Below are 25,026 nucleotides of genomic sequence, written 5' to 3' on the forward strand. Positions count from 1 at the left end.
TTAGCTGTAAGCAAGTTGGGGTGGGGGTGCAATGTCATTTGTGTGTGTGTGAGGATTCCTAACATGTTGTGTGTGTGTGTGTGTGTGTGTGTGTGTGTGTGTGTGTGTGTGTGTGTGATGGAGTCTAGCTCTGGCACCCAGGCTGGAGTGCAGTGGCACAATCTCTGCTCGCTGCAACTTTCGCCTCCTGGGTTCAAGTGATTCTCCTGCCTCAGCCTCCCTCTCAGTAGCTGGGATTACAGGCATGTGCCACCACGCCTGGCTAATTTTTATATTTTTAGCAGAGATGGGGTTTCACCATGTTGGCCAAGCTGGTCATGAACTCCTGACCTCAAATGATCTGCCTGCCTCGGCCTCCCAAAGTACTGGGATTACAGGCATGAGCCACTGCGCCATGCCCCGACATGTTCTTAAAGAGCAGAAAAACATGTAACGCTTAGTTCACTTGAAAGCCTTCCACGGAATACATTTCAGTGAGTGACAGACACAATGTTTTTGTTCCATTAGAAGTATTTTATTTTAAAGTACACTTGAAATTTTAAATGTGTACAAATTCAGAGGTTTAAAAAACTTCGAAAGTCACAGACACAGAATTTAGGAAGCTGAAGGCTGAGAGTCTCCCTTCTCACTTAATCCATGCTTTATTTTGCATTCCTCACAGGTAAGGAGGCAGTGCCTAGAAGAGAAGCAAAAATAGACAGCGGTTTGTACTTTGACACTGGAAGCCCTAGTCTTTACATAACATATTATTCTTATTATTTTAACATAATCTTTTTAATAGAGATGTGGGGGGAGTCTATCTATGTTGCCCAGGCTGGTCTCGAGGGCTCAAGGGATCCTCCCACCCAACCCTCTTGAGTAGCTGAGACTACAGGCATGAACCACTGCACCTGGCTTTAACACAATATTAGAAATATAGTCTATGCTAAAGTTCACTAGCCTTGTTTTTTCAGAAATAATAGGAGTATTCTCCCATTCTGTAGGTTGCCTGTTCACTCTGAAGGTAGTTTCTTTTGCTGTGCAGAAGCTCTTTAGCTTAATAACATCCCATTTGTCAATTTCGGCCTTTGTTACCATCGCTTTTGGTGTTTTAGACATGAAGTCCTTGCCCATGCCTATGTCCTGAATGGTATTGCCTAGGTTTTCTTCTAGGATTTTTATGGTTTTAGGTCTAACATTTAAGTCATTAATCCATCTTGAATTAATTTTTGTATAAGGTGTAAGAAAGGGATCCAGTTTCAGCTTTCTACATATGGCTAGCCAGTTTTCCCAGCACCATTTATTAAATAGGGAATCCTTTCCTTATTTCTTGTTTTTGTCAGGTTTGTCAAAGATCAGATGGTTGTAGATGTGTGGTATTATTTCTGAGGGCTCTGTTCTGTTCCATTGATCTATATCTCCTGTTTTGGTACCAGTACCATGCTGTTTTGGTTACTGTAGCCTTGTAGTATAGTTTTTTAAATTATTACACTTTAAGTTTTAGGGTACATGTGCACAACGTGCAGGTTTGTTACTTATGTATACATGTGCCACGTTGGTGTGCTGCACCCATTAACTCATCATTTACATTAGGTATATCTCCTAATGCTATCTCTTCCCCCTCCCCCCACCCTACAACAGGCCCTGGTGTGTGATGTTCCCCTTCCTGTGTTCAAGTGTTCTCATTGTTCAGTTCCCACCTATGAGTGAGAACATGCGGTGTTTGGTTTCTTGTCCTTGCAATAGCTTGCTGAGAATGATGGTTTCCAGTTTCATCCATGTCCCTACAAAGGACATGAACTCATCCTTTTTTTATGGCTGCATAGTATTCCATGGTGTATATGTGCCACATTTTCTTAATCCAGTCTATCATTGTTGGACATTGGGTTGGTTCCAAGTCTTTGCTATTGTGAATAGTGCCACAATAAACATACGTGTGCATGTGTCTTTATAGCAGCAGGCTTTATAATCCTTTGGGTATATAACCAGTAATGGGATGGCTGGGTCAAATGGTATTTCTAGTTCTAGATCCCGGAGGAATCGCCACACTGACTTCCACAATGGTTGAACTAGTTTACAGTCCCACCAACAGTGTAAAAGTGTTCCTATTTCTCCACATCCTCTCCAGCCCCTGTTGTTTCCTGACTTTTTAATGATAGCCATTCTAACTGGTGTGAGATGGTATCTCATTGTGGTTTTGATTTGCATTTCTCTGATGGTCAGTGATGATGAGCATTTTTTCATGTGTCTTTTGGCTGCATAAATGTCTTCTTTTGAGAAGTGTCTGTTCATATCCTTTGCCCACTTGTTGATGGGGTTGTTTTTTTCTTGTAAATTTGTTTGAGTTCTTTGTAGATTCTGGATATTAGCCCTTTGTCAGATGAGTAGGTTGCAAAAATTTTCTCCCATTCTGTAGGCTGCCTGTTCACTCTGATGGTAGTTTCTTTTGCTGTGCAGAAGCTCTTTAGTTTAATTAGATCCCATTTATCAACTTTGGCTTTTGTTGCCATTGCTTTTGGTGTTTTAGACATGAAGTCCTTGCCCATGCCTATGTCCTGAATGGTATTGCCTAGGTTTTCTTCTAGGGTTCATATGGTTTTAGATCTAACATTTAAGTCTTTAATCCATCTTGAATAAATTTTTGTATAAGGTATAAGGAAGGGATCCAGTTTCAGCTTTCTACATATGGCTAGCCAGTTTTCCCAGCACCATTTATTAAGTAGGGAATCCTTTCCCCATTTCTTGTTTTTTCAGGTTTGTCAAAGATCAGATAGTTGTAGATATGCGGCATTATTTCTGAGGGCTCTGTTCTGTTCCATTGGTCTATATCTCTGTTTTGGTACCCAGTACCATGCTGTTTTGGTTACTGTAGACTTGTAGTATAGTTTGAAGTCAGGTAGCATGATGCCTCCAGTTTTGTTCTTTTGGTTTAGGATTGACTTGGCAATGCGGGCTCTTTTTTGGTTCCATATGAATTTTAAGGTAGTTTTTTCCAATTCTGTGAAGAAAGTCATTGGTAGCTTGATGGGGATGGCATTGAATCTATGAATTACCTTGGGCAGTATGGCCATTTTCACGATATTGATTCTTCCTACCCATGAGCATGGAATGTTCTTCCATTTGTTTGTATCCTCTTTTATTTCATTGAGCAGTGGTTTGTAGTTCTCCTTGAAGAGGTCCTTCACATCCCTTGTAAGTTGGATTCCTAGGTATTTTATTTTCTTTGAAGCAATTGTGATGGGAGTTCACTCATGATTTGGCTCTCTGTTGCTTGTTGTTGGTGTATAAGAATGCTTGTGATTTTTGCACATTGATTTTGTATTCTGAGACTTTGCTGAAGTTGCTTATCAGCTTAAGGAGATTTTGGGCTGAGATGATGGGGTTTTCTAAATACACAATCATGTCATCTGCAAATAGGAACGATCTGACTTCCTCTTTTCCTAATTGAATACCCTTTATTTCTTTCTCCTGCCTGATTGCTCTGGCCAGAACTTCCAACACTATGTTGAATAGGAGTGGTGAGAGAGGGCATACCTGTCTTGTGCCAGTTTTCAAAAGGATGTTTCCAGTTTTTTCCCATTCAGTATGATATTGGCTGTGGGTTTGTCATAAATAGCTCTTATTATTTTGAGATACATCCCATCAATACCTAATTTATTGAGAGTTTTTAGCATGAAGGGCTATTGGATTTTGTCAAAGGCCTTTTCTGCATCTATTGAGATAATCATGTGGTTTTGGTCTTTGGTTCTGTTTATATGGTAGATTATGTTTATTGATTTGCGTATGTTCAACCAGTCTTGCATCCCAGGGATGAAGCCCACTTGATCATGGTGGATAAGCTTTTTGATGCGCTGCTGTATTTGGTTTGCCAGTAGTCTATTGAGGATTTTTGCATCAATGTTCATCAGGGATATTGGTCTAAAATTCTCTTTTTTTTGTTGTGTCTGTGCCAGGCTTTGGTATCAAGATGATGTTGGCCTCATAAAATGAGTTAGGGAGGATTCCCTCTTTTTCTATTGATTGGAATAGTTTCAGAAGGAATGGTACCAGCTCCTCTTTGTACCTCTGGTAGAATTTGGCTGTGAATCCGTCTGGTCCTGGACTTTTTTTGGTTGGTAAGCTATTAATTATTGCCTCAATTTCAGAGCCTGTTATTAGTCTACTGAAGGGATTCAACTTCTTCCTGGTTTAGTCTTGGGAGGGTGTATGTGTCCAGCAATTTATCCATTTCTTCTAGATTTTCTAGTTTATTTGCATAGAGGTGTTTATAGTATTCTCTGACGGTAGTTTGTATTTCTGTGGGATCAGTGGTGATATCCCCTTTATCACTTTTTATTGCATCTATTTGATTATTCTCTCTTTTCTTCTTTATTAGTCTTGCTAGCAGTCAATCAATTTTGTTGATGTTTTCAAAAAACCAGTTCCTGGATTCATTGATTTTTTGAAGGGTTTTTTATGTCTCTATCTCCTGAAAATTTTTACAATCTACACATTTGACAAAGGGCTAATATCCAGAATCTACAAAGAACTCAAACAAATTTACAAGAAAAAAACAACCCCATCAAAAAGTGGGCAAAGGTTATGAACAGACACTTCTTAAAAGAAGACATTTATGCAGCCAACAGACACATGAAAAAGGCTCACCATCACTGGTCATCAGAGAAATGCAAATCAAAACCACAATGAGATATCATCTCACACCAGTTAGAATGGCGATCATTAAAAAATCAGGAAACAACAGGTGCTGGAGAGGATGTGGAGAAATAGGAACACTTTTACACTGTTGGTGGGACTGTAAAGTAGTTCAACCATTATGGAAGACAGTGTGGCAATTCCTCAAGGATCTAGAACTAGAAATACCATTTGACCCAACCATCCCATTACTGGGTATATACCCAAAGGATTATAAAGCCTGCTGCTATAAAGACACATGCACAGGTATGTTTATTGTGGCACTATTCACAATAGCAAAGACTTGGAACCAACCCAAATGTCCAACAATGATAGACTGGATTAAGAAAATGTGGCACATATACACCTTGGAATACTATACAGCCATAAAAAAGGATGAGCTCATGTCCTTTGCAGGGACACGGATGAAACTGGAAACCATCATTCTCAGCAAACTATTGCAAGGAGAAGAAACCAAACACCGCATGTTCTCACTCATAGGTGGGAACTGAACAATGAGAACACTTGGACACAGGAAGGGGAACATTACATACCGGGGCTTGTTGTGGGGTGGGGGGAGGGGGAAGAGATAGCATTAGGAGATATACCTAATGTAAATGATGAGTTAATGGGTGCAGCACACCGACGTGGCACATGCATACATATGTAACAAACCTGCAATGTTGTGCACATGTACCCCAGAACTTAAAGTTAAAAAAAAAAAGAAATAATAGGAGTTGTTGCTTGGTTTATGACCCCCAGAATTTCACCCCTCAAAGAGCCAATAATGAGCTTTATGTTGAAACAGATGGTTGTATTTGTGGTCAGGGTCAGGCAGAGTTTGAACATCTTGATTCTTTTTGAATTCAAGTAATTTCTAACAATAGCATAAAAATTATAAACACACAGTGCATTGATCCAGGATTAAACTATATGACTATGGAGTTAGATTTGGACACATATGTGCACATATATATACACATAATTTTTTAAATTAAAAAATCATGATACTTCCAGAATTTCTGGCTTATAGTTTGCCTAACTTGTCCCAGTTTCCTTAGGATACCAAGGAAAATGCACAGGTTCGTTCTAGAATAATATTCGCATTTGAATATGAAATAGATGTCCTTGAGTCCCTTCTTGCATTAAAGTTTTATAATCTTACAAATTCAACAAACATTTACTGCTATGAGGAGTTGGCAACAGGATAACTTTGTTTATGCAGGACAGTGATAGGATGTGTTTTGAATGATAGAAAACTCATTCAATCTGGCTTGGGTGGGAAGGATTACTTCGAAGGTAGCAAGGCCAGCAACTGCTATTGTAAAACCCTGAAGACATGGAGGAGGAACCCCTTTCTCTCACTTATTTCCCCCCATTGCTTTGAGAATAAAGTGAAAATCCTTAGCATGGCATAAATTCCTTCAGGAGCTGACCTCTACCTGCCTGGACTTCCAGCTTGTTCTCTGCCTTTCCCAATAGCTCTTTATGCTCCAGCCATAGGATGTATTTATGGTTCCCTTTAAAAATGAAAATTTCCCCTCTCTACATACTATTCCTGGCCCAGAATCCCCTTCTTCAACCCTGCTATAGCTCCTACTATAGCCATAGCTCCTGCTATATCTCCTCTTGTCATAGCTTCTGCTGTAGCTCCTACTACTTGAATCTATTAAGATTCAAGTCAAGCATCATCACTTGCTCCAAGAAGTCCTTAATGCCTATTCCTTAACCCTCCCCTCCACCTCAACTGAGTTAAGTGCCCCACTCTACTTTCCTTTAATTAGAAAATCAAATAGCTTTGTGAATTATTGCCTCTCAGATTTGCTGGTAATGGCCCTTCACATAGGGCATAGCAATTCATTATCAGCTATGAATGCAAGCCCAGAGTGGGGCTGCCATGGCTGGCAGTGGGAAGGCAAAATGAAACCCCAGAACACAGAGCTTAAAGGAGCCCTGGAAACTAGTTACTTCAGTCACCTCCTTTCATAACAGACATTGTCTGAAAAATGTAGATTTCAGTCTTGTGTTCATAATTATTCTGGAATCCAAAGTGGGTTAATTGCAAAAGACACTCCTGAAATTGAAGAGGAAGAGGAAGAGGAAGCAGTCCTTTCCTTTACTTGTGCTACTTTTTCTTTCTTTTCCTGCACAGACCGGAATCATGTGGTCAATTCCTCCTCAGCAAGCTGACTCTAAAACACAACTTTGCAAGGATGGACTGAAGTTGGTGTTGTCTGTAAATATGGAATTATAGATTCTTTGGTGGCCTTGCTTCTTGTAATGGGAAGAGTAAGGGTTTGGAAAACAGATGATCTGAGGTGACAGACCATTTTCCACCCACTGCTAATGGTGTCACCTTCAGAAGGTCTCTGCAGCTCTTTGGGTCTCATGCAGCTCATCAGAAAGAGACAGTATTAAGGCCCCATCTATCACTACAGGACTAGGGAATGTGGCTTTCCAAAGTCACATAGTTAGAAAAAGAACTTGGGTGTTTTGACTTCTAGTCCAGTTTGTTTTCACCATATTGTGCTGCTTCTCAGATAGAACCCACTGTGACCAGTGAGGGGTGTTTAGAGAAATGTGTCCCCAACACTAGTCTTGTAACTTCTATAGTAGAAATAGCTAATGTTTACTGAGCACTTACTGAGTGTCATGAATAATCATTTCTATTCTTTACATCTCATAAAAACTATCTTGATCACTATTTTATACAGATAAGGAAACTGAAGATCAGAGAGCTTAAGAAACTTGCAGGGTCACACAACTTAGTAAGTGGTAGAACTGGTTTTTAAACCAAGTACTATAACAGCAGAGGTGATGCCATTAACTCCAAAGTCGTACTGCCTATTTCCCCTATTTAGAATCATGATATATACAGTATTAACATAGAAAAAGCTCTGAGAAGCCCTGCAGTAAAGAAACCTGTTAAAGTTTTGTGTGACTCTGTGATGGTGGAAGCCATATCTGCTCATTGAGGAATTCTTTAGTAACTTGCACAATGTTTGAACACAGTAGATTCCCATTAAATATTTATCAAACAAATGAAATTGGTAAGTAAGTGTAATAACAAAGTTATTATTGAAGTTGGGTAACAACAACGCTAAACTTGAGGGTTAAAACTTTTTTTACATGTGAATTTAAAAAATTGTGTTTAATATTATAAATAGTGAGTAATCTTTCATTTAATTTCTTATAATTACATTACAATCCCTCAACCAAACAGATTACAAACCTGTTATGCTGTGGACCAAAACCAGCCCCACGGAGCTGATCTTCAAAAAAATGGAATTTACTCTGGCATACTCCTATGTATGATACCTTTCCAAGGCCAAATCCCAAGAGACCAGCAACTGTAAAAGCAGGTTGGGAGAGATTAGTTGAGAATCTTCTCCATTAGTTATTTTCTAGAGCTTTAAAAATCAACGCTGGTAATTTTAAAATTAAAAGGACCACGCTAAATCAATGAATGAAGACTCTGAGAATGAAGTCTCTATTTAAAAAGAACAGGATTGGGAACTGGAGACTTCCCCATCTCAACTTTGCACTGGTGGTGGAAGGGCCAGGACAGAGCAAGCCACAGTGCTGTCCTGGAGACAGATGGCCAGAGAGGGCCCACCTGTCAAGCAAACGGTTGAGGCCACGGGGGCAGGGGAAGGTGGCTGGGTTGTGGCTATAGGTAGCTTCCAAATCACTGGGTAGAAATGCCCCTAATCTTCCTTATGGCCTTGGAGTAGTGGAGAGCTTCAGTCCATCTTGCCTATAGGAGAGAGGTCACAAAGGAGAGGGACCCTCCTATGGAAGAGATCTCGAATCTGTTCCTCCTGCTAGGAATGAATGTGGTTTCAGACTATCAACTAAAATGTGTCCTTTTTGTACATAAAAGATCTATTGATACCAGGTGAAGGAAGATGAAACCCCAAGTTTGTGGTTACTCTATTATTAGAAATCCCCTGATTCTTAAAAATTACTCATTTTTTATATCCATCGTAGAAAACATTTTGAAAAGACTGGCCAGGGCAAAAGAAGAAAATAAAAATCCATAAATGATCTATCATGCAGAGGCTCTGCTATTGATAATCTCATTATATATCCTGCCAGTCCCTCTTAGTCCATGCTTTAAGGATGGTCTAAGAAGAAGTCCCAACTGCTAAGCTGTATATCAGAAAGTGTTGAGTGAACTAAGAAATGCAGAGTGGCAGAAAATAGGGGCTGATTTTTCCAAAAGTCAATACAGGCAGTTTAGTTAGGCTGGACATTCGTATCTCCAGTTGCTAGTAATGTCTTTTTTTCAAAGTTTTTATTTATTTATTACTTTTTAAAAAAATAGATACAAGGTTTCACCATGCTGCCCAGGCTGGTCTCGAACTCCTGGACTCAAGCAATCTACCCACCTCAGCCTCCCAAAGTGCTGGGATTACAGATGTGAGCCACCACACTTGGCTTGCTTTTTTATTTCTATGACTTACGTGCAACTTTGGGCAATGATCCAAATCTAGAATTAGCTGCCAAATAACCTAAGGAGTAATAAAGAAAAACATTATTATTTCATTTCATAAATTAAATTATAAGTTATAAATTATAAGTTATTCTTAAAGTATAAAGAAACCTCCAAAATTTAAGACATAAAATTTCTTAAATGTATACATATTCTGACTTTAAAAAGATGATCTTGGCTGGGCGCAGTCACTTACGCCTGTAATCCAGCACTTTGGAGGCCGAGGCGGGCAGATCACCTGAGGTCAGGAGTTCGAAACCAGCTTGGCCAACATGGTGAAACCCCGTCTCCACTAAAAAAATACAAAACTTAGCCAGGCATGATGGTGGGTGCCTGTAATCCCAGATACTCAGGAGGCTGAGGCAGGAGGATCGCTTGAACCCAGGAGGCGGAGGTTGCAGTGAGCTGAGATGGCACCGATGCACTCCAGCCTGGGTGACAGAGCGAGACTCCATCTCAAAAAAAAAGATCTTAAAGGAGTTATGATTCAATTCTCAGTTGAATTGAACTCCCAGATAGTCATTTTAGGCAAATTACAAATATTAGCTGTAATGTGTAGAAAAATAATATGAAAAAGACAGTTCAAGACTGATTCAAAGACATCAAGCAAAGGTAGGGCTAACAACAGTGTTCAAAGAGATTAGTCATCATCCTCTTTTTTTTAAAATTATACTTTAAGTTCTAGGGTACATGTGCACCCTCTTTTCTTTTTAAGTAACTTAACATAGAAAGTTTCCATTTGGAGATTCACAGTGTATATCATTATTTTACAATGCAAACAGTACAACTCATGGTAGTTAGAATAATGGCCTTTTAGAGATACCCACATCCGAATTCCTGGAAAAGGTGAATATATTATGTCCCAAAAGGGGGATTAAGGTAGAAAATGGAACTAATGTTGCTAATCAGATGACTTTAAAAGAGAGAGATGATCAAGGTGTACCCAATGTCATCCTTCAGTGTGGAAGAGGAAACTGGTGACAGGCAGAGAGATGGCAGCAACAGAAGAACTTGGCTCAATGTTGCTGACTTTACAGTCATAGGAAGGGGCCACCGGTTAAGAAATATGCATGGTTCTAGAAACGAGAAAGGAAAAGGAAGCCCAAGAGCCTCCAGAAGAACACAGCTGGGGCGACGCCTTGATTTTAGCCCAGTGAGACCCATTTCAGCATTCTGATTTCCAAGGACTGTAAGATAATACATTTGTGTTGTTTTAAGTCACTCTGTGGTAATTTGTTAGAGAAGTTATAGAAAACTGATATCAAACTCTGAAAAAAATGTATTAGCATAGATGCAAAAAATGGTAGATGTCTTAGTCTGTTTTCTGCTGCTATAACAGAATACCATACGCTGGATAATTTATAAAGAACAGAAGTTCACTTGGCTCACAGTTCTGGAGGCTGAGAAGTCCAAGAGCACAGAGCTGGCATGTAGTGAGGGTTATCCCATGGCAAGGAAGTGCATGAAACAGAGAGCAAGAGGAGAGGCTGAACACATCCTTTTTATAAGGAACTCACTCCCATGATAATGGTAGTAATCAATTCACGAGGGTGGAGCCCTCATAACTTAACCTCTTAAAGGCCCCACCTCTTGATACTGTTACAATGGCAGTTAAATTTCACCCTGAGTTTTGAAGGAGACATTCACACCACAAGCAGTAGATTTGGAGTATTTTAATACTTATAAAACATAATCCTGGCTGGGTGCGGTGGCTCTTGCCTGCAATCTCAGCACTTTGGGAGGCTGAGATGGGCAGATCACTTGAGGTGGGCAGATCACTTGAGGTTAGGAGTTTGAGACCAGCCTGGCCAACATGGTGAAACCCTGTCTCTACTAAAAATACAAAAATTTGCTGGATGTGGTAGCACAGGCCTGCAATCCCAGCTACTAGGGAGGCTGAGGCAGGAGAATTGCTTGAACCCAGCAAGTGGAGGTTGTAGTGAGCCGAGATCACACCACTGCACTCCAGCCGGAGCGACAGAGTGAGACTCCATCTAAAAAACAAACAAATAGACAAACAAAAAACCCATAATCCCCATAGATGTCCCAGCCCCAATATTTTTATGTGTCAAAAATGATCTGAAAAATGCTATCTTCAAATTATAAAAATAAAATCATATTTAATATATGACCTTTATGGACAAGAATGATATTGGTCAAAGTGGGATTCTCCTAGATATGTGACATGTGGTTTTTGAGACCCAGAAAAGAACTAGGACTTCTTCCCTCATATTTACTGGTACAAATGTTCCTTTTAAGATCCTGGTAATCAAGGCTGGGTGTGATGGCTCATGCCTGTAATCCCAGCACTTTGGGAGGCTGAGGTGGGAGGATCACAAGAGCTCAGGAGTTCGAGACCAGCCTAGGCAATATAGTGAGACACTGTCTCTGCAAAAATTAAAAAAAAAATTAGCTGGGTGTGGTGGCATGTGTCTATAGACCCAGCTACTTGGGAAGCTGAGATGGGAGCGTCACTCGAGCCCAGGAGGTTGAGACTGCAGGGAGCCATTATATCACTGCACTGGATGAGGGTGAGACCCTGTCTCAAAAACAAACAAACGAACCAAAAACCAACAAAACAAAACCCCAAGATCCCCATAAAGTCCTGATAATCAGAAGCCAGGCATGGTGGCACGTGCCTATAATCCCAGGTACTCAGGAGGTCTAGTGGCGAGGATTGCTTGAGCCCAACAGTTTGAGGACAGCTTGGGCAACATAGCAAGACCTCGTCTCATTTAAAAAAAAAAATAGCAAAATCCTGTTAATCAGCAGTGTTTGATAAAATGGGCTTAAACAAGATAAGGTGCCTTCTTGCCACCTGTGGACTAAGGAATGTCTCTGGGTTCTCTGGTCAGGTGGAGACAGGGAGGAGATGAAGAAGGAAGAACAGAGAGGAAAACAGGAAAACGCTAAGAGGCAGGGAGAGGTTATGTGGTGAGATGCAAGGCAGCTGCTGGTCCTTACGGTCTCTTGTATGGAGGAGACAGGGTGCCCTCCTCAGGCAGATGCAGCCTCTTGCCAAAAGAAATGGTGTGGTGGACACAGCTTAGGGTGGATTTTAGCTCCCCCCACCTCCTCCCTGCAACATCCTTATTTGTACAGGGAACCATCTGTCTAACCATATACAGAGGCCTTGGGAGACACAGGACTCCGGCACAGAGAAAGGCACAGGATTGCTTCTCTGTAGTTCCTGTAAACAAAGCAAATTTATTATCTTACAGTTCTTGAGGTCAAAATGGGTCTTACCGGATGAAAACCAAGGTTTTAACTGTGTTCCTTAAATGGGCTGCATTCCTAACTGGAGGCTCAAGGGTTTCTTGCCTTTCTAGCTTCTTGAGGCTGCCCACATTCCTCCACTAATGGTCCCTTCCTCCATCTTCAAGGCCAACAATGTTGAGCTGAGGCCTCACATTGCCGCCTCTCTGATTCCATCTTCAGATCCCGCCTTTCACTTGTAAGGACCCTTTCAATTACACTGGGCCCACCTGGATCACCCAGGATACTCTCCCTATTTTAAGGTCAGGTGATTAACAACCTTAATTCCATCTGCAACTTTAATTTCCTTTTGCCATGTAACCCAATATATTCACTAATTCTGGGGATTAGGATGCTTTCTGGGGAGATGGGGACTTAGGCTGAAAATAGGCAGAAGTCTGCATAAATACATCCTTCACCAAAAAATAAATGTCAAGGGCCAAAAAGCTGCCAGGAGGGTCACAGTAAACTGGGCTCTCTGAAATTAGATTATTTAACAAATATTGAATCTTACCTTGGTAGACTAGTCCCTGGGTGACAAGCATGCTTACAAGAGAAAAAGGCAGAGCTGTAAAGCAAAAATGTCCTTCAATATTGGTATTTTAAAAATTGGCACCTCACCTAGAAGTTAGGGAAAATTATTCTGAGCTTTTTCTCTTACCTTCCTTGGCAGTGAATTTTTATTCATTTGTTATTTTACTTATTCAACAAATATTTATTAAGTGCAGCATGGAGAATTTTCTTGGAATCTTCTCCAGTCACTTACCCTGAGGCACAGCATTAATTTGAACCCTATTCTACTTCATGTCTGACATCCACTTGTACTGAATGCCAACATGCACCAGATTCTAAGCACTACATATAATAAAGGCATCTTAGGGTATATGTACATTGACCTGTTGAATTTGGGAGTTGCCTTTAGCTATGTGTATATTTTGAAATTTTCAATCCTACACAAATGATAAAAAGCAATACAATAAACTCCTACATACCCTTCATCTAGATTCATTAATTGTGAACATTTTGCCAAATTTGCTTTATCTCTTTCTAATTTTTCCTTTTTTGTCTGAGCCATTTGAGATTTGCAAACATTATGACTCTTTGTCACTAAATACTTCAGCAGTTGTCTTCTAAAAACAAGAATGTTTCCCTACACAATTACACCACCATTAGCATGGTCAAAACATTTATATTTCTTGAACACTCATACTCAAGAAAAATTATATTAACTTATACACAATAGTTATTCAAATCTCTCCAGTTGGCCCAATAGCTGTGGGTTTTTTCCAACTCAGAAATTCAGGAGTCATACGTTACACATACTCTCCTATGTGCTTTAGTCTAGGACAGTTCCTTGCCTTTCTTTCTCTTTTTCATGACATTTTGTCTTACAATTTGGATTTGCTGAAAATCCAAATTAAAGATTACAAGATGACTATGTTCACGTTAAACATGTGTAATGTTTAGCTATAATTTTAAAACAGGAAATTTAGTCTGGGAAAGGCAATTTCTAGTTCTGTCCATCAATATGTGTCAAATGACTTCTTTCAAAAGCAGAGAGTAGTGATAAACATGTAGCTCTTTCTAGTTCAACAAAGACAAATCAAATAGCAACCAATTTTTCCACTCATAGCTACCCCATAGTGGGCAAATTGGTCATAGTGAAGTGTTAATCTACTAGGGCCCAATTAAATTTTCTGACAACTCATAAGTTGTCAGAAAACACATGAATTTCTGGAAGCACAGTCAGTAATCCCATAATGTATAAAGAATATCAACTTCTAGAAAGTGTTATTTCTAAAACAGGTGACACTAAATTTGAATGACTTAAGAAATCAAAATGAGTATTTCAAAGTATAAATTATCCACACATCAGCAATGTTGCAAAATATCAAGACTGTATCTACAGGTTCTACTCTGCCATTTTCAAATGCTATATCACACATTTTTTTAATTGGAAGGGACCTTAATACACAGCCTGAATTCACTCACACTCTTGTCTTATGTGAGGCAGGCTCAGAAAGAGGAAGTGACTCAGCTGAAAATGTTATTTCAGAGACAGTGTAAGCGAAGTATTAATGGAACGCGGCCATTCTTCATTCATTAGAGAAATATCGATTAGGAATTTTCTATGAACAGGGCACTGTGCTAGGCTCTAGAATGAAGTTTCAGATGAACTTGACATTATTTCTGAACCCTATGAAACTTAGAGTCTGGTAGAATGTAGGAAGGTCCACTCTTTGGGAGTCAGCAAATTCTAAATAATTGTCTTGGTACACGTTCTTGGTCACATATTCTTGGTAAAGGGAAGAGTTAAGTGTGCATCACTTTTTGCTAAGTGAGGTAAAGTGCTCCTTAATCAGATATTATCTCTGCCCTAAAAAAGGTCTGAACTTGGATTTAAACTCTAAACATCCCTGAATATCAGAGTTCATCAGATATTTATGCAAAGTCTCTGCTCAAACGTAAGTCATTACCACAATTCTAATATGATATTTAGGCAGTTTACTGCCACAAATACAGTGTTAGGTGCAATTACCTCTCTTCCAGAAACTTTCTTCCTGACATTCTCGCATAATCTTTGAGATCTCTGCTCTGTGGATGTGCAGTTTTGATTTTGGACAAAACAACAGGCTCTGTAAGGAAAGTTATATGGTGAGCTAACTGAGGTCATTGAAAAATCACCCACTTTGTTTTCTACAGAAGAGAACAGGGAGGTCTCTTCACTTGTTACACAGTGTGTGTTCTCTACCAGAGGCAGCCCAAAGCAATTATCAGTTTCCAAGAGTGCTTTCTCACTGGGAACACTGATGGACTTAGGCAACAGAAGAATTCTAGTCGGAGAGTGGGAGTGATTCACTGACTGGCGCAGGCAGCAGATTTGCAGGCAGCAGATTTGCGATCAGGCTGAATCCCTGCTGAGGCCACATTTCCTTCCCTACCTCCATGCCTCTATGTGGTTTACTATACCTAGAATGCTGTTCACTCCCTTCGCCTGACTGGCCTTAACACCCAGCTGAACATTGTCTCCTGGGTGAGGAAAGAGATTTTCCCTATAGCACAATATTTAGACATTGAGCATCACACTCAGAGAACCTATGTATATATGCACTTCTGTATGCATTTTTAGACTGTGGACTGCTTTTTATTATTTGACATAGTTTAGTTTACTTTCAATCTGGATGCTTTTTTTTTTACACATTTATAAGTGGTGTGCACATAATTTCTGGTGCAACTATTGACATGGTTGACATAACTTTTTATTAGTTCTGTAGTATTTTTTGGGAATTATTTATTAAAAATTTAAAAAAATTTTAATCGTTGTGGGTACATAGTAGGTTCTGCAGTGTTTTTTTTTTTTTTGATAAGGTCTCATTTTGTCACCTGGGCTAGAATGCAAGGGCGTGATCTTGGCTCACTGCAGACTCTACCTTCCAGGTTCAAGCAATCCTCCTACCTTAGCTCCCCTAGAAGCTAGGACTATAGTGACAATGGGGTTTTGCCATGTTGCCCAGGCTGGTCTCAAACTCCTGAGCTCAAGCAATCTGCCCTCATCGGCCTTCCAAAGTGCTAGGATTACAGGCGTAAGTCACTGATCCCAGCCTTGCGGTGTTTTTTTAATCAAGTTCATATGCTATCATCTAGACCAACTCCCATCTCTTACCATTCCTTTGGCTTTGTAGGTACATATGCTTTAATCACTCGCTCTTGTCCACATTCTCCACTCCTTCCCCTCTGCCCATCACAACCATTCTGAGTGTTTAATGTGGTTCTTTTATTTCTATCCATTCTTGCAAAATGTTCATTATTTTGGGTGAATGTATCTTTTTAATGTAAATAGCACTGTTTTATATATTTTATTCTTCAAATATTCTCAACTCAGCTCTATGCTTTTAAGATCCACCCATGTTGCTGTATTCATCTAGTCTGCTGCTTCTAACTGCTGCATAACTGTGCACAATGTCTCTGAGTTCCTACCACCTCATGTTCCCCTATGGACCCATGAGAGAACATTTTTCAGACATGAAACTAGAAGTAAAGCTCAGGGTGTGCATATTCTCACTGTGACAGAGTCTTGCTAGACCGCTCTCAATTGTTGCAGTCTCCACTCCTACCCGCAGGGCCTGAACATTCCCTTATGGCTCCGCAGCCTGTGTAAGAGCTAGGTATGGGTAAAGAAGATTCCAAGCAAGTTAAAGAAAGAATTTTCTAACACTTGGAATTATCCAGTTTTCTAAGCTGATAGGTATAAAGTAACATTTATTATCCTGTTTGTACTTCTTTGATAACGAATGTGTTTGACTATCTCTACATATTTTTCAGCTACACTGCCCTTCTCCTCTAGTTGTCAGGCAATTCCTGTAATTGGATCTGGGTTGTAATCTTTTGTTATATATTGGCTCATTAATTTTTTTGTGGAAAAATACATATAACATTTGCCATTTTGACCATTTTATTTTTATTTTTTTTAGAGACAGGGTCTCGCTCTGTCACCCAGGCTGGAGTATAGTGGTGCCATCATAGCTCACTGCAGCCTCGAACTCCTGGGCTCAAGTTAACCTCCCACCTCAGCCTCCTGAGTAGCTGGGACTATAGGTGCACACCATCATGCCCAGCTAATTGAAAAAACCATTTTTTTAATAGAGCTGGGGGAGGCGTGGGGGGGGCGTTCTCACTATGTGTCTCAGGCTGGTCTTGAACCCCTGGACTCAAGTGTTTGTCCCGCTTTGGCTTCCCAAAGTGCTGGGGTTACAGGTATGAGTCACCATGCCTAGCCCCATTAAGTTTTTTTTTTAAATTTAACTTGTTCCTTACTATAGAAGTCACACTCATATTTCCTTGTTTGTGAATTATTTATGTGTGTTATTTGCCATTTATCTCCAAGGTTTTAGTGTTTTTCTGGTTGAGGTGCAGCTCCTTAACTCTTGAAGTGTAGTTTGATTGTGCTGATCTTGCCACTGTCTTTTTTAGACTCTTTCTGTGTAATAGATGTCAATGTACAGATGGTCACCATTTCTTGAGCACTTTGTATGGGCCTGGTCCTGTGCCAAGCACTTTACATGCATGATGTCAATAAAAGGGGTGGAGAAACCCTCTGGCACCAGTGTCTGTGGAGCTCTACAAACAGTCCAAATGGGCAACCTCCCTCTTCTTTCCCTGCAACTCCCCAAGGCACAGTGCAAAGATGCAGTAAGTCCCAGGGTGAGTCACAGCAGCAGGAGAAGGAGTTGCTCTCAGTCTCCACTTACCTTCCTTACTTAGCACAGGCATGCCTCCAGATGCCCAGGGTGAATATTTGCTCTTGCTCTTGGCTGTGCCTGGGGCAGAAATAAGGACTGCCTCCCCTTAATAAACAAATGCACACACCCTGGCTATCACAATTGCTTCCAGTCCTGCCATCAGCCTGTAATCCCAGGCTTTGGGAGGCTGAGGCGGGCAGATCACTTGAGGTCAGGAGTTCCAGACCAGCCTCGCCAACATGGTGAAACTTCATCTCTACTAAAAATGCAACAATTAGTCAGGCATGGCGGCAGGTGCCTATAATCCCAGCTACTCGGGAGGCTGAGGTAGGAGAATTGCTTGAACCCAGGAGGTGGAGGTTGCAGTGAGCCAAGATTGTTCCATAGCACTCTAGCCTGGATGACAGAGTGAGACTCCATCTCAAAAAAAAAGGATCTCTGGTTATCATTTTCTGTATAGCCATGAATGTTTGATGACTCTCCATTTCACAGAGGCAACTCAGGTGTCCAAATAATTCTCCTTGTGACTTTCTATCATTTGTCTGTTTGCCTCGCCTAAACTTTGCTCCTTAAACATTACTGCTATTACACTATTTTTAGCTTGAACATGAACGCCATTGACCCATCAAATGCTTTCTCTTTTCTTCATTGATGTATTCCTGAAATACACAATATCCATTCCTAACAAGTTGAAAAATTGTTTCCATGTTAACACTTGGGTTCTCAATCTGCTAGCTAATTAGTAATAAAGGACTCTGCCACCCTGAACAGGAACACCTGTCAGCAGCATAGGATTAGTGTGATTACTTACAGTAATATAAATGTAAAAAAATAAGCAAAATATTGCCTGTAATCTCAGCACTTTGGGAGGCTGAGGTGGGAGGATCATTTGAGCTCAGGAGTTTGAGACCAGCCTGGGCAATATAATGAGACCCCCATCTCTAAAAAATAAATGAAAGGATAAATAAAAATAAATAAGCAACATGTATCACTCTGTTAGAGTCTATTAAGAGTTTTGCTCTGCTATCAGAAACCTCTTCAGTCACTGACAGTTCATCTAAGAGTTAGTAAGGCTGGATTACAAACAGGAAAGAGTAAAGAAAGGGTTTTTTTTTTTTTTTTTTTTCTTTTTTTTGAGACAGAGTCTCGCTCTGTTGCCAGGCTGGAGTGCAGCGGCCTGATCTCGGCTCACTGCAAGCTCCGCCTCCTGGGTTCATGCCATTCTCCTGCCTCAGCCTCCTGAGTAGCTGGGACTACAGGCACCAGCCACCATGCCCGGCTATTTTTTTGTATTTTTAGTAGAGATGGGATTTCACTATGTTGGCCAGGATGGTCTCGATCTCTTGACCTCGTGATCCACCCGCCTCGGCCTCCCAAAGTGCTGGGATTACAGGCGTGAGCCACCGCGCCCAGCCAAGAAAGAGTTTTGTAAATAAAATTTTAAATTTTAAATTTTAAATTTCAGCTTCTTTTCAAAGCAGCTGAAAACACACTTTCCTTCCCCATCCTATTTTCCCTAAGCCCATCCAACAAAGTGCCAGACTGAAAAAAATAAGATGACTGGTTAAAGTTGAAATTTAATAAAAATCCTATGATATATATTTTTTCAGATGGCAGGTCCTGCAATTAAAAGTATACCTGACCAGGCATGGTGGCTCACGCCTGTAATCCCAGCACTTTGGCAGGCCTAGATAGGAGGATTAATTGAGGCCAGGTGTTTGAGACCAGCTTGGGCAATATAGTGAGACCTCATGTCTAACCACAAAAAAAATTAGCCAGGCATGTGGGCCTGCACCTGTCATCCCAGTTAAGTGAGAAGCTCAAGTAGGAGGATCACTTAATCCAGCAGTTCGAGACTGCAGTGAGCCATGACTGCACCACTGCACTCCAGTCTGGGTGACAGTGTGAGATCGTGTCTCAATCAATGAATCGATCAATAAATATAAAAGTATACCTGCTTGCTTGGTGGTGGAAAATGGGCATCTTTATCTTGGTTTCCACGAGCAGACGCTGAAGCCATGATGACTTTGTGCTTGCTCTCCTTCCAGTTGTTTATCCTCTGCTTACTCCTTGACCCAGTGTCTAAGGAAGGTAGAAGAGAATCACTATGCCATGACTAAATGTTTGCATCAAGCTTAAAAGCATCCTGAGGATCCACTGGAGTTATTTGGAAAATGTGTTTTTCCTTTTGTCATTAGTCCATCTGCAAACTCAACTTCCAGTGCTCCTCTTCCACCAGCACACATACATGCACTCACTAATGGGGACAGATCAGATTTAGAATAGAGTGGAAATACCACACTGTGCACTGAGTGTCGATTATGTGCCAGGCCAGGGGATATGAAGAAGGATAAGACAAGATCACCGCTGTGAAGGAATTCACAGTCCAAAAGGGGAGATAGACAAGTCAACAGTTACACAACATGAAAAGTATGCATGGGATGCTAAGGAAGAAAAGAAAGCAGGGTCCATTCCATCTAGTCATGTCACAAAGGAACTAGGACTCCTAAGCTTTCAGGAGGATCTGTGGAGGGTAGATGGACTCTGGGGCAGGAGGACCAGGTTGGAAGGTGGTACACTAGTCCAGACAAGGAGTTACAGGGACGTGAACAAAGACCCTGGTGGGAATTTAGCATCTTTGATAGAGATGCTAAATTTGGGTTTGGAAATGTTGGATTTGGGTGCCTGTGGGGGCAAACAGTGGAATTAGCCACTGTTAATATTTGACGATTTGGGTCTAGAGTTCCAGAACAGGGGTAGGCTAGAGAGATGAAGTTGGGAGCTGCCATCATAGAGATGAGAGTTAAAGCAGGGAACTTTAATAAATGTGTCTAAAAACAGTACTGGAGAATATGAACACTGAGCCCAAGGGAATATCGAAAAGAGAAGAAAGATTAAAAAAAAAAAAGCAGGCCAAGGAAATGACTGAGAAGGAATAGCTGATACAGAGGGGAGGGAATTTCTGAAGGAGGGAGTGAATCATCAACACCATCACATGGCTTAGAAAAGTGGACCCTGGATTTGGCAATGATGGACATAATCCAGGTGGACTTTGAGCCTCCTCCTGCCCCCAGTGGCCACTGCATTCTGCAGCCCTGAACTCTACCTCTACCTCTGCTTTTCTTCTGCAAAATGAACCTCTTATATACAATTCTGTTTCCTACATCAGTTACTAAACTTTGAGGCATTTGAGCCAAGGGGACCCGTACTCGCACCAAGTTTCATCACAGGTGTCTAATGTGATTACAGGGGCAGCACGGTGCCCTGCACGGGAAAGTACTGGGGTCAGAGAGACCAGAGTTCAAATCGTGACTCTTTACCCCTGCGATCCCTTTGGTGCAAATGACTTAATCCGTCTCTGCCTCAGCTTTCTCCACTGTTAATTGGGCATAATGGACACAACAATGGTGAGGGGCTCTTGCAGGAATGAAGACTAGGATGAGGATGAGGATGAGGGATACGTCCATAAAGCCCCTGCACACCTTCCATTTCCTGAGCACTCCCAGGAAGTCTTTGCTGACCACGCCAAATTAGATTATCTTTGCTTAGCCATTAGGCCGCTGCCCTATATTGGGAGGCAAATATACCTCTCAGCTTCGGTGGCCAGGTCCCCTGGCACCCACTTAGTCCTCAGTCTGCACCTAAAAGCAAGCCTTCCGAGGGTCTTGCCTTGCAGGTGTAGCTCCCACCCCCCACGCTGGGGTGGTCCGGGGACCCTCTGTTTCCTCAGTGGTGGGGAAGGGACCCGTGGGTTCGTGGGTGCTGACCGACGAATGTGCGGAGGAGGGCGCGCCCCAGCATGGGGGGCGGGGGTGCTTCTTAGGATGGCTTGGAGGGGGGCGCCTGCAGGGCTGGACGGCGGACGGGGGACACTGCACTTTCTGATGCGGTCGGGGAAGCCGGGAGTCAGCCTACTGGAGTCCGCTGCCATCCCTGGCCAGAAGCAGCCAGCGCCACCCCAAGCTCCCCAGCCCCTCGCCCGTGCCGGGGCCGCCGGGGTCCGAGTTAGGGGAGAGTGGGGGGCGGCCACCGCTGCACCGCGCGGCCTTCGAAGGACTGCCCTGCGGCGCCGCGTTCCCCCGAGGCCACCCCCTCCCGCCGTCAACACTCCCCGGGGCGGGGGCTCACCTGTGTGGTCTGGGTCGCCTCCGAGGCCGAGTCCCTCGTTGCCAAGCCCAGCAGGCCTCGCTCCCCCGTGACTGCACCGCCGGCCCGCTCCAGCTTCCCGAGTACCCCACCTGTCTCCCCGGCTTCCTTCCGGCCCTTTGTGTTTTCTTCTCTTGCTCCGCCCCCTCGCCTGCCCGCTAAGCACTTAAGCTGGTGAAGTCACCCTACTGCCACCTGGCAGTCACTTTCGCTGTTGGTGGCAACCCAGGCTGGAACCCAGCTCTTGCCGGAACCCCTGCCCCATCCTTGAGGCTTGTCCCGACACCGAGTAGGTTCTAGTTCCTTTGTGCCTTCCAAATGACTCCCTTCCTCCAGCAATCACAGCCGCAACAGCCATGTATTGCGCCCCCGCCCTAGGCCAGGCGTGGGCATCACCTTTGCACTCCTTTCTGCAGCCGTGTGTGGTGCCCACTGTGACCTGCACTTCACAGACGGGTCATCTGAGTTGTGCAGGCCACTAAGGGAGCCTGGAGTCAACCCCAGGCCTGCTTGGCTCCCAGGCCTTCTCTTTCCATTGCTCTTTGTCGGTCCCCTGCTGCCTCCTGTCCCTCCCCAACTCTGACTTGTGGAGGGAAGCCTTTGACATGTGGGGGTACCTTTAATACCGATATCACTTGTTACCGGAGAGGGGTCCCGATCCAGACCCCAAGCGAGGGTTCTTGGACTTCTCGCAAGAAAGAATTCGGGGTGAGTCCGTAGAGTGAGAGCAAGTTTATTAAGGAAGTATAGAAAACAGGCCGGGTGCGGTGGCTCACGCCCATAATCCCAACACTTTGGGAGGCAAAGGCAGGCAGATCACTTGAGCTCAGGAGTTCAGACCAGCCTGGCCAACATGGTGAAACACTCTCTCTACTAAAAATACGAAAAGTTAGCCAGGCATGGTGCTCTATGCCTGTAATCCCAGCTACTCGGGAGGCTGAGGCAGGAGAATCGCTTGAACTCCGGAGGCAGAGGTTGCAGTGAGCCGAGATTGCGCCACTGCACTCCAGCTTGGGCGACAGAGCCAGACTCTGTCTCAAAAAAAAAAAAAACAAAAAAAAAACAAAAAACAAGAAGAACAACAACAAAAAAGAATGGCTACTCCACTGGCAGAGCAGCTGTGTGGGCTGCTTAGCTAATTATACTGGTAGTTATTTCTTGATTCTATGCTAAACAAGGGGTGGATTATTCATGAATTTTCCAGGAAAAGGGTGGGCAATTCCCGGAACTGAGGGTTCCTTCACTTTTTAGACCATATAGGGTAACTTTCTGACGTTGCCATGGCACTTGTAAACTGTCATGGCCCTGGTGGGAGGGTCTTTTATCAGGCTAATGCATTAAAATTAGCATTTAATGAGTAATGAGGACGACCAGAGGTCACTTTCATGACCATCTTGATTTTGGTGGGTCTTGGCTGGCTTCTTTACTGAGTCCTGTTTCATCAGCAAAGTCTTTGTGACCTGTACCTTGTGCCAACCTTCTATCTCATCCTGTGACTAAGAATGCTGAACCACCTGGGAAGGCAGCCCAGTAGGTTTCAGCCTTATTTTACTCAGTCCCTATTCAAGATGGAGTGGCTCTTGTTCAAACACCTCTGGACACAGTTACCCCAGCCATGGCTGACAAAGTTTTCTGGGCTGAGCTGCCAGGACTGACTGAGTGTGTTGACTTGGAGAGAGGCTGTGGATCTCCACTGAAGGCCCTCTTCATTTCTCACCTTTTCCTATTGTGCGAATTGGTCCCTGTACCTGTGGCCGCTTCCTCCTCACGCCTCCCCGATCCACACCTCCAACTTGTTGTTTCTCAGATTCACACAGCTCTTTTCCACTGGAGGCCCTCCCCTGCCTGCAGCCTCTCCCGATTGGTCCTGTCCTGGCTTTTTCCTACTCCTTCTTTTTGACTGTTCCTCAGGAAAATCTTCCTTGACCCCAGCCTAAGGCAGGCCTTTCTTCTTTTTCATAGCACAGGACACTATTGTTTTCCTTCATAGCACTTATCACAACTCATTATGTACTTATTAGTGTGTTCATTTATATAAAGCATATTTTCCCTGCTGCAGAGTAATCTTCATGAGGTTCAGAACAAGATGGTGTCAGTTTTGTTCACCATTGTGTAGCATCTTGGATATAGAAGGGGCTCAATAAATATTTGTTGAATGAATGAATGAATGAATGAATGAATAAGTGAGCCTAGGTTCAATGACTGTCAAGATACTGTTGTTTTGGATGGTTCATTTCCCTAGTAGATCCTCCAGACCACATTCCTCCATGGATTCACTGGTTTTCTCCCCACCAAAGTGTGTCTTATTTCCTTTTCACTCCTTTTTCCACCTCCAAATTAAAGGGAATATAATTCTATTGCTAATTTCACATTGCATTACCAGAAATCAGAAAAAATCAGCTGGTTTGAACAGAACAGGTTTTGTGATTTAAATGAACAACCCTCCATTACACTGAAGTCAGTGTAATGGACACATAACCTAAGTGGCATTTGTCCTTTAACATCTTGCTATGGTATGCAAGATGTTATACCTGTTATGCATATGTGACAGCTGCGCTTCTGGTCTCCCATGACCTTATTATTTTTTTTTCTTTTTAGAGATGGGAGTCTTGTTATGTTGCTCAGGCTGGAGTGCAGTCCAGGCCCCCACCCTCATCTCTACTTTCCACCAAATAGGCCATTGACTACCTTAAATAGCAAGAAGTCATCATATGTAACGTGCATCGGTTATGACCAATTGGTATTTGTTGGGCAAATCTGATGTGTCCATGTATTGTTCTAGCACTTTCAAAGATAATAGAAAAAGACATGAGTCTTTTCCACAAAGGATATATCAATTCCCAAAGAATTATAATAAATATACATTGCCGTAGAAGTCTATGGCCCTCAACAGAGCCTTTCTTAGGCTTTGCTTCTGCATCCTGCAGGGCCTCCGGATCATGACCTGATCCAAAATTGATTATCACTGGCTAATGCTATGAAAAATGTGGTTGATTTAGAAAGTGCCAAACCGTCCATGGCAGGTTTCAGCTTAAACTCTTTCCACAGCCCTACACTGACCTTAGCCAAGATCTGAATTCATTAGCAGGGCCCTGAGTGATTCAGCTCCTGCCTGCCTCTCCAATGCAGCTATCTGAGGCCCTCCCAGGGCCCTCTGGAGTGACTCATGTTCTCTCCTTTCATGCTTTTATGTGCACTGGAGAGCCAGCCTGAATCAGCCTTCCTCTGCTTCTCCACCTC

The 25,026-nt window shown here is 42.4% G+C and overlaps 1 protein-coding gene across 5 annotated transcripts, besides 2 other annotated features; it reads right to left on the minus strand.

The window, feature by feature from the left end:
• Positions 1-129: 129 nt before the first annotated feature.
• OCIAD2 (OCIA domain containing 2) lies at positions 130-21,939 on the minus strand. Of its 5 annotated transcripts, NM_001014446.3 has the most exons (7): positions 21,769-21,885; positions 19,595-19,722; positions 14,940-15,036; positions 12,915-12,968; positions 9,117-9,164; positions 7,883-8,000; positions 130-676 (listed from the first exon to the last, which is right to left on the minus strand). In NM_001014446.3, exons 2-7 carry the CDS (start codon positions 19,658-19,660, stop codon positions 595-597), a joined length of 465 nt encoding a protein of 154 aa, NP_001014446.1. In that variant the 5' UTR covers positions 19,661-19,722; positions 21,769-21,885; the 3' UTR covers positions 130-594. The 5 variants fall into 5 exon arrangements, 4 of the variants coding, with proteins under 4 accessions (NP_001014446.1, NP_001273703.1, NP_689611.1 ...); NM_001286774.2 differs by lacking the exon at positions 14,940-15,036; NM_152398.4 differs by lacking the exon at positions 7,883-8,000.
• Positions 21,563-21,822: a silencer, noted in NCBI's record as "silent region_15415". NCBI's record gives its function as "represses an Ori minimal core promoter by ATAC-STARR-seq in GM12878 lymphoblastoid cells {active_cell/tissue: GM12878}" and the evidence as "EXISTENCE:reporter gene assay evidence [ECO:0000049][PMID:35858748]".
• Positions 22,113-22,192: an enhancer, noted in NCBI's record as "active region_21550". NCBI's record gives its function as "activates an Ori minimal core promoter by ATAC-STARR-seq in GM12878 lymphoblastoid cells {active_cell/tissue: GM12878}" and the evidence as "EXISTENCE:reporter gene assay evidence [ECO:0000049][PMID:35858748]".

Source organism: Homo sapiens, chromosome 4, assembly GCF_000001405.40.
Source record: "Homo sapiens chromosome 4, GRCh38.p14 Primary Assembly".
Classification (NCBI taxonomy): domain Eukaryota; kingdom Metazoa; phylum Chordata; class Mammalia; order Primates; family Hominidae; genus Homo; species Homo sapiens.

What these genes read in the sequence shown, in the direction of transcription:
- OCIAD2 (NM_001014446.3), bottom strand. Translation starts at nt 19,660, where the DNA reads ATGGCTTCAGCGTCTGCTCGTGGAAACCAAGATAAAGATGCCCATTTT. An exon ending in TTCCACCACCAAGCAAGCAG is followed by an intron (nt 15,037 to 19,594) that starts GTATACTTTTAT and finishes CTTTCCTTACAG; the next exon opens with AGCCTGTTGTTTTGTCCAAA. An exon ending in CCAGGGACTAGTCTACCAAG is followed by an intron (nt 9,165 to 12,914) that starts GTAAGATTCAAT and finishes ATTACTCCTTAG; the next exon opens with GTTATTTGGCAGCTAATTCT.